The sequence below is a fragment of the Homo sapiens genome, chromosome 7 (assembly GCF_000001405.40).
Source record: "Homo sapiens chromosome 7, GRCh38.p14 Primary Assembly".
Lineage (NCBI taxonomy): Eukaryota > Metazoa > Chordata > Mammalia > Primates > Hominidae > Homo > Homo sapiens.
Genome location: NC_000007.14, coordinates 35,426,697 through 35,436,376, shown reverse-complemented (window position 1 = coordinate 35,436,376; position 9,680 = coordinate 35,426,697).

The window sequence follows — 9,680 nt, the reverse complement described above, 5'->3', positions numbered from 1 at the left end:
CACAGCATGAAAGACAATCTGGACATTTTCAAGTGTAGACTTTGCTTGTGACTCTTTTGTGAAGAATAATCATTGTTATTTTAGGAAGACCCTAGTTTATCCAACTCTTGTTAGAATTGGGTGAGTATGAATCTCTACAATAAAATGGAAATGTGAGATCCAAGCTTATAAAATAAACTCATATTATCATTTATACATGTCTGGTCATTGTGTTAATAAAATCAGTTTGTCTTGGATGAAACACATGGTTGGCCTTTATAATAGATGTGAAAATGGGATTATAGATCATTGCTCTTTTTTATTCTGAACATTACTTTGTATTTATTGCCAAACTCTTTCGACAGCTCCTAAGGAGTAAATTTTAAGTGCATTTTTGTTGTTCTCCAGGAACAAGCTGCCACTTCAGTTTCACCACATTCTTCTTCCACACACTGATGAAAGATATGGAGACAGCAGGAACTGAAGTAGAACCAGAGGGATTTGTTAGGACAGACATTCGCATTCATTCATTCTGATTCTCACTATGGTCAGACAGTCAGTAAAAGTTCACTGAATTTTTCTTTTGATAAATAAAATGGACAATTTTCTCAGTGCAATGCCTTAGTTTTAGAAGAGCAACCTTAAATGTACTACTGATTAGTAAACTCTAAACTGCTTTCTGTGTTTTTTTTTTTTTTTTTTTTTTTGAGACGGAGTCTCGCTCTGTCACCCAGGCTGGAGTGCAGTGGCGCCATCTCGGCTCACTGCAAACTCTGCCTCCAGGGTTCACCCCATTCTCCTGCCTTAGCCTCCGGAGTAGCTGGGACTACAGGCGCCTGTCACCACGCGTGGCTATTTTTTTGTATTTTTAGTAGAGACGGGGTTTCACCGTGTTATCCAGGATGGTCTCAATCTCCTGACCTCGTGATCGGCCCGCCTCGGCCTCCCAAAGTGCTGGGATTACAGGCGTGAGCCACTGCTCCCGGCCTCTGTGTATTTTTAAAAAATTTTTCAACTTTTATTTTAGATTGAGGGGTAGATGTGCAGGTTTGTTACAAGGTATATTGTGTGATGCTGACTTTTGGGGTAGGATTGAACCCATCGCTAAGGTAGTGAGCATAGTACCCAATAAGTAGCTTTTCAACCCTTTCCTCCCTCCCTCCCCCTTCTTGTAGTCCCCAGTGTCGACCGCTCCGATCTTTATGTCCATGTGTACCCAATGTTTAGCTCCTACTTATAAGTGAAAACATGTGGTATTTGGTTTTCTGTTTTGCACTCATTTGCTTAGGATAATGGCTTCCAGCAGCATCCATGTTGCTGCAAAGGACATGACTTCATTCTTTTTTATGGCTTTTTTATATATAGTATTCATATATATATGCACCATATTTTCTTTATCCAATCCATAATTGATAGGCACCTAGGTTGATACCACGTATGCTATTGTAAATAGTGTTGTAATGAACACATGAGTGCATGTGTCTTTTAGATAGAATGCTTTATTTTTCTTTGGGAATATACCTAGTTATGAGATTACTGGATCAAATGGTAGTTCTATTTTTATTTCTTTAGGACATCTCCAAACTGCTCTCCATAGAGGCTGAGCTAATTTATTTTCCCACCAACAGTGTATAAACATTCCCTTTTCTCTGCAACCTTGCTAGCATCTATTGTTTTTTGACTTTTTAATAATAGCCATTCCAACTGGTGTGAGATGGTATCTCATCGTGGTTTTGATTTGCATTTCTCTGATGATTAGTGATGAGGAACATTTTTCCATATGTTTGTTGGCTCCTTGTATGTCTTCTTTTGAGAAATGTCTGTTCATGTCCTTTAGCTAGTTTTTAATGGGGTTGTTTTTTGCTTGTTGGTTTATTTAAGTTCCTTATAGATTCTGGATAGTAAACCTTTGTCAGATGCATAGTTTGTGAATATTTTCTCCCATCCTATAGGTTGTCTGTTTACTCTGTTGATAGTTTCTTTTGCTGTGCAGAAGCTCTTTAATTTAACTAGGTCTCACTTGTCAAATTTGGTTTTATTGCAATTGCTTTTGAGGACTTAGCCATAAATTATTCGCCATGAATGATGTCCAGAATGATGTCTCCTAGGTATTCTTCTAGAACTTTTATAGTTTTCGGTCTTATATTGAAGTCTTTTATCTATCTTGAGTTTATTTTTGTATATGGTGATAGCTAGGAGTCCAGTTTCATACTTCTGCATATGGATATAAGTCAGTTATCCCAGGACCACTTATTAAATAGGAAGTCCTTTTCCCATTTCTTATTTTTGTTAAGTTTGTTGAAGATCAGTTTGTTGTAGATATACAACTTTATTTCTGGGTTCTCTATTCTGTTCCATTGGTTTATGTGTCTGGTTTTGTACAAGTACCATGCTGTTTTGGTTACTGTAGCCTTGTAGTATAGTTAGAAGTCAGGTAGCATGATGGCTCCAAATTTGCTCCCTTTGCTTAGAATTGCTTTAGCTATTTGGGCTCATTTTTGGTTCCATATAAATTTCATAATACTTTTTAAAAATTCTGTGGAAAATGGCATTGGTAAAGTTTAACAGGAATAGCATTAAATCTGTAGATTGCTTTGGCGGTATGGATATTTTAAAAATATTGATTCTTCCAATCAATGAGCATGGAATGTCTTTCCATTTGTTTGTGTCATCTATTATTTATTTGACAACGTTTTGTGGTTCTCCCTGTAGAGATCTTTCACCACCTTGGTTAGATTTATTCCTAGGTTATTTTATTTTATTTTCTTGTGGCTATGGTAAATAGGATTTTGTTATTGACTTGGCTTGAGAGCCTGGAATAACTGACTTATATCCATATGCAGAAGTATGAAACTGGACCCCTAGCTATCACCATATACAAAAATAAACTCAAGATAGATAGAAGACTTAAATATAAGACCGAAAACTATAAAAGTTCTAGAAGAATACCTAGGAAACACCATTCTGGACATCATTCATGGTGAATAATTTATAGCTAAGCCCTCAAAAGCAATTGAATGTTATTGGTGTCTAGAAATGCTACTGATTTTTGTACATTGATTTTGTATCTTGAAACTATAAACTTTCTTCTTAACACTGCTTTTGCTGCTTCCCAGAGATTTTGGTGTGTTGTGTCTGTTTTCATTTATTTCAAATAATTTTTAAAATTTCTGCCTTAATTTCATTGTTTACCCAAAAGTCATTCAGGGGCAAGTTGTGTAGTCCCCATGTAATTGTGTGGTTTGAGAGATCATCTTGGTATTCGTATTTTTATTTCATTGTGGTCTGAGAATATGTTTGCTATGATTTTGATTTTTTAAAATTTATTGAGATTTGTTTTATGACTGAGCATGTGTCTGATCTTGTTCCATGGTCTAGTGGAACATGGTCAACTGAGCATGGTCGAGTACGTTCCATCTGCAGATGAGAATGTATATTCTGTGGTCGTTGGATGGAGAATTCTGTAGATGTGTTTTAGGTCCAGTTGGTCATGTTTTAAGTTTAAGATCAGAATTTCTTTGTTCATTTTCTGCCTTGATCTGTTTTAATGCTGTTAGTGGAGCGTTGAATTTCCCCATATTGTGTGGCTGTCTAAGACGTTTTGTAGGTCTACAAGTACTTGTTCTATGAATCTGGGTGCTCCAGTGTTGGGTGTGCATATATTTAGGATAGTTGAGTCTTCTTGTTGAATTGAGCCCTTTATCATTATGTAATAGCTTTTTTGTTCTTTTTTACTATTGTTAGTTTAAAGTCTGTTTTACCTGATACAAGAATAGCAACCCCTGCTCTTTATTGTTTTCTGTTTGTGTGATAAATCTTTCTCCACTCCTTTACTTTGAGCCTATGGATGTCATTGCATGTAAGGTGAATCTCTTGCAGACAACAGAAGGTTGGGTTTTGGTTTTATATCCAACTTGCCACTCTGTGCCTTTTGAATGGAGCGTTTAGACCATTTACATTAAAGATTAATAGTGATATGTGAGATTTGGATCCTGTTTTGGTGTTATTTGCTGGTTGCTTTGTAGTCTCAATTGTGTAGTTGATTTATGGGGTCCATGGATTATGAACTTATGTGTGTTTTTAGGGTGGCAGGTATCCTTCTTTCCTTTCCAGGTTTAGAACTCTCTTGGCTGGGCATGGTGGCTCATGCCTGTAATCCCAGCACTTTGGGAGGCCGAGGTGGGCGGATCACGAGGTCAGGAGATCAAGATCATCCTGGCTAACATGATGAAACCCCGTGTCTACTAAAAATACAAAGAATTAGCCAGTCTGGTGGCAGGCGCCTACATGTAGTCCCAGCTACTCAGGAAGCTGAGGCAGGAGAATGGCGTGAACCCAGGAGACAGAGTTTGCTGTGAGCAGAGATCACGCCACTGCACTCCGGCCTGGGCGACAGAGTGAGACTCTGTCTCAAAAAAAAAAAAAAAAAAAAAGAACTCTCTTAAAGATATCTGGTAAAGCTCATCTAGTGGTAATGAATTACCTTAGCAATTGCTTGTTTGTAAAGGATTTTATTTTTCCTTTGCTTATGAAGCTTAGGTTGGCAGAAAACGAAATCCTTCATTGGAATTTCTTTTCTTTAAGGATGCTCAACATAGGCCCCCAATCTCTTCTGGCTTGTATAGTTTCTGTTGAGAAGTCCACTGTTAGCCTGATAGGGTTCCCTTAGTGATATGATCCTTTTCTCTAGCTGCCTTTAAGAATTTTTTCTTTTACACTGACCTTGGAAAGTCTGATGACTATGTGTCTTGGGGATGGTCACCTTATATAGTTTCTTGTAGGGATTCTCTGAATTTCTTGATATTGCATAATGACCTCTCTATTGTAGTTGGGGACATTTTCATGGGTTATTTCCCCAAATATGTTTTCCAAGTTGCTTACTCTCTCTCCTTCTCTCTTAGTAAGGTTATTAAATTGTATGTTTGGTCTCTTTACATAATCCCATATTTGTTGGAGGCTTTGTTCTTTTTTAAAAATTCTTTTTTCTTTATTTTTGTCTGACTGGGTTGACTCAAAGGACCAGTCTCTGAGCTTTGAAATTCTTTCTTCAGCTTTATCTAGTCTGTTGTTAATGCATCCAACTGTATTTTGCAATTCCTGTAGTGGATTTTTCAATTCTAGAGGTTCAATTTGATTCTTTCTTAAAATGGCTATGTAATCTTTAAAGTCTTGGATCATTTTCCTGGCTTCCTTGAATTGGATTTTAACTTTCTCTTGAATGTTGTTGAACTACCTTGCCATTCAGATTCTGAATTCTATGTCTGTCCCTTCAGACATTTCAGTCTGATTAGGATTCATTGTGAGGGACTAGTGCAGTCCTTTAGAGGTAAGAAAATACTGACTTTTTGAATTGCTGGAGTCCTGGTGCTGACTCTCATCTGAGGGCTAGTATTTATTTTTCTTTTTGAAATTGCTGTCATTTGGATAAAGCTTTTTGTTTTTATATATTTTTTTCCCTTGAGGGTTTGACTATGGTGTATGTTGTGTATAGTAATTGGCTTCATTTCTCGGTGGTTTCAGAGGACCAAGGCTTTGTAGAGGACCTTTGTGTCAGAGAACCTGAGTTTTGAATGGGTTTCATAGCCGTTGCATGCTGAAGATGTTTTTGTTTGGTGGTGTAATGCAGGCTAAGGTGCAGTAGATGGCGCTTAAGAGTAAGGGCCAGAAGATAGGCCCTTACTGAGCTGCAGGCCTCTTGTATTTCAGCGCATATGCAGCAGTGCTCTGAGGAGGCGGGGAGGAGGTGGCAAGAGATGACTCCATCACCAAGTCTGTTCCTGGGCCTTGGTGGAACCCCCTTCAATTACCGGAGCCGAGCTTGTATTTCCTTAACCTCAAGGGGGCTTTGGCAGGCTGTGTTCCCTCCTCCCATAGGAGCAGTCCAAGTCAAAAGTTAGGTCACCAGGAGACCCACAACTCCCTGGGGACCTGCTGGTCCTCTGGACTTGTCAGAGTCAGAGCTGGTTGTGGGGTATGTCTGTGGTTGGACTGGTGATGCAGTGGGTCAGGAGTGGAGGATCCCCAGGCAAGATGGTGGTACTGTGGGTATGTAACTGGTGTGCCACCCATGGCCTGAGGTTTTTAGCCCAGCAGACTGTTGTGGGACCCACGCAACTCACACTCCCCTGATCAGGTCTCTCTCCGGCATCTGCCTCAAGTGCAGACCCAACCAGCTAGACTTGTTCCAGCCTTCTGTGCCCAGATCACTGGACTGTTCCAGGTGTTCTAGGCTGTGAGGCTTTTTGGGACAAAAGCTGTGGCTGGCTAACAGGCTACATCTTTCCTAGACTGGGCTTGCAAATGGAGGGATGCCCAGCTTCTACAGTGGCACATGAACCCACGTCACAATCTTCTTAGTGTTCTGAGAGAGGGGGCCTCCTCCTCCACTTAAGCTCAGGCCACAGATCTCAGCTCAGTAACCCTGGGTGATGTGCTGAGATCCTCGGGCGGGTGGGACCAGGCCTGCATTTTTTTTTTCCACTGACCCCTCAGGGTTAAGGGCCAGCCATGCTTGGGGGACTGAACTACTCCCAGGCTGCTGGCAAAACACTCCGGTGGGGCAGTGGAGGCTGTGTTGTAGGTACCCTCCTGTGGGAGTGGCCAGGCAGGTGGTCTTGGGAGGGGTCAGTGGACGAAGGGTGCATACAGATCAGATGCACTCTGGTCATGCAGGAAAGGTAGCCTTTGTCTTTTGCGGCCTGGCAGTAAGCAGGAGCTACAGGCACTCAGAGAAAGATAGAGTGTCTTGGGGAATGAGCACTTATGGTCGCATTTTGCTGCAGCTACACCGCAGGCTCTGAAACCTTCTGGGCTCCACTCAGGTTTGCGCTCTGCTTCTGTCTGCTCTCTGTGCAGTTTCCTCTGCCAATTCAAATGTCTATGGAGGTCGTGGGATCTCTTGCAGCTAGGATCTCAGAGGTCTGCAGTGGGAGTGTGGTCCCCTGGAGTTCCTTCGTTCACCCCTTCCTTAGGACCTCTTCAAGACTTGGAGACAGCCCTGGTGCTCAGTGACTTCATGCAGGCTTCCCAGCTTCCTCCCTCTTCAAACATGGTGTCTATTTTCTCTCAAAAGATCTGTTCAAAGTATGATGGTTTACTTGGTATTTTGTTTTTTCTTGGTTCTAGAGGCGTTTCCTGGCTGCATCTAGTTGGTCATCTTCGGTCACACTCCCCAAACACTGGTGCTGAGCCCAGCCCAGTACTGTCAGTCACCAGTCACCAGACAGGCCCTGGCCAAATCCAAGATGGCCTGTTTTCTATGTACTTCAAGAGTAAAGGATAAGAGAAGGACAAAGGGTCCAGCCAAGCTATATCCATTGGAATTGAGGAGGGGCCCAAGGAGAGCGGAAGTAAGAGTTGGCATTGTCCCTTTCTGGGCCTTCTGGGATGGTTGGTATTGTACAGAATTGCCCAGAATTTCCTTCCCTGTGTGTTTCTGAGTTAGGGTGGACCCAGGAAACATTCATGGCAGTGACACAGTAGCCATTATACTCCAAAGTCAGACCATAAACCTTGTCAGTGATCTGTTGGCTTACCTTGTTAAAGTAGGGTAGAGGCCAAGACTGCAGCTCTTGCTGGATCTCCCCTTCAGCTTCTCTGAGCCTTGAGCGAGGTGCATGTGCAGTGCTGAGGCAAAGGGCACTGTCTTCTTATGCAGGTCACATCACCAAGGTTGAAGGTGCTGAGAGGCAGACATGGGTTGTCATCTCTTCTTGTGGTTTCCAGTTTTTCCCCCCTTTCCTCCACTTCACAGTCAGCTTCTCTTTCCTCTGTTGACCATGAGCAGACTGTAGACTTCTTCACCAGCCTTGTAATTGGATAAGACCTAATCTTGTGCTGTCCAGTACAGTGGCCACTAGCCATGTGTGACTATTAAAATTAAAATGAATTAGAATGGAATAAAATGCAACATTTTCTCAATTGTACTAGCCACATTTCACATATGTGTCTAGTGCCTGTGTTATTGTACAGTGCAGAAGTATAACACTTCCATAATTGCAGAAAGCTCTATGGAATAGTACTGGTGTAATTCCTTTAATAAATTCCTTATTTCATAGCACTCATAGGGATTCTGCTTCCCTAATCACACCCTATCAGATACCCTCGCATTTTGTAAAGACTGGTCTAGGCCAGTGGTTCTCATTTTTTTGTCCTTCTAAGCCTCTTTCACTGATAACATTGTGAAAGATGTGTGACACATTTCAATGGTCCTACTCAGATTGCGACAAAATCCCTCAAAAATTTTCCAAGGAGGAAAAGCAAATAGGTGAAATAGACACAGCATTAGTTAACCTTTACCCTCGCCCCCCATTTTCTTTTTTTTTTTTTTTACCACTTTAGAAAATATACCAAAATGTGTATAAGATGACATTTTATTGATTTTAGATGTTTCTTCTTTTTTATTATAGGCATTTATGCCATAAATTTCCCTCTAAACACTGCTTTTATTGCATCCTGTAAGTTTTGGTGTGTAGCATGTTCATTTTGATGAATCTCAAAATATTTTCTAATTTCCCCTGTGATTTCTTTGACTCATTGGTTTTGTAGAAATATATTATTTAAGTGCCACATATCTGTAAATTTCCTTCTGTTATTAATATGTTGTCTTTTTGTTGTTATTATTGTTTGTTTATTTAGTGACTTCTCTGGACTAATTCTGTAAAGTCTGTATTTTTGTCATAGGTGGCTGTTGAAGTCTCTGCTCAGCTTAGTGGTCATCTGATTATTGGACAATTATTTTCTTAACTCCCTGGAAACAATAAGCCTCCAAATTTTTGCCAATGATTGACTCCCAATGTTTGCATGTTAGGGCACACATTCAATTCTCAGCAAAGTGGTTGGAAACTCTGCCTTAGCCTTCATTTCCTGCTTGTGTAGAGCCTACAGGTCAGCCAGAGGTGAGAACTTAGGGCCCTTTCTGGTGTTTCCTGAACATGTGTACAGCCTAATATGTGTGTGTAGTCTTCCAGATTCCCTTGAACGTGTTGGAGTTTTTCAAATCCCCTATGACCATCTAATTTCCCAGTTTTCCTTTAAAGTTTTTGGTTTGTCTATTGTTTTTTCCAGCTGCTATTCTCTGCCTCAGGCAGCCATGAAGTTAAACAACTGCCTGTAACCAATGCCCCTTGGAGAAAAGGATTTTTGTTTGTGGGGGATAGGGGTCTGGAGGCTTTTTGCACTGGCTGAGCTCCAAAACAGGTTAAATAAAGACAACTTTGTCAGGGAAGTCTTCCAGGGAACTACCAGACAGGGAAAATTATGGTAATTCTTGCAAAAAGATGCTTTGAAAGAGCTCCAGCCTCCATTTGGTGACTGCTAGCCTGCTGATTTTCACAATGATTATGGGTAGTTATTTTTCAAGGCTACTGCAGGGCAGGGAGAGCTGAGACTAGGACAAGACAAAATGCTACAAAGCTTGCTGTTCTTACCAAGATTCAGATATTTTGTTCTTGAATATATACCCCACTGCTTGTTGTAAACCTTTATTTAATTTTTAGAGCTCTGAAAAAGTTGATTCTGATCATTTTTGTCAGATTCCTTTGACGGAGGAAAGAATTTTCAGAGGTCCTAACTTCACCATTTTTTTCAGACATCACCCAAGGTTGACATTTTATGCAGATAATCACAAATTATACTTTTCCAACAGACAAAACAAGACCAAGATAGAAAAGAAAATCACTCAATCATCCAACCTAAGTACT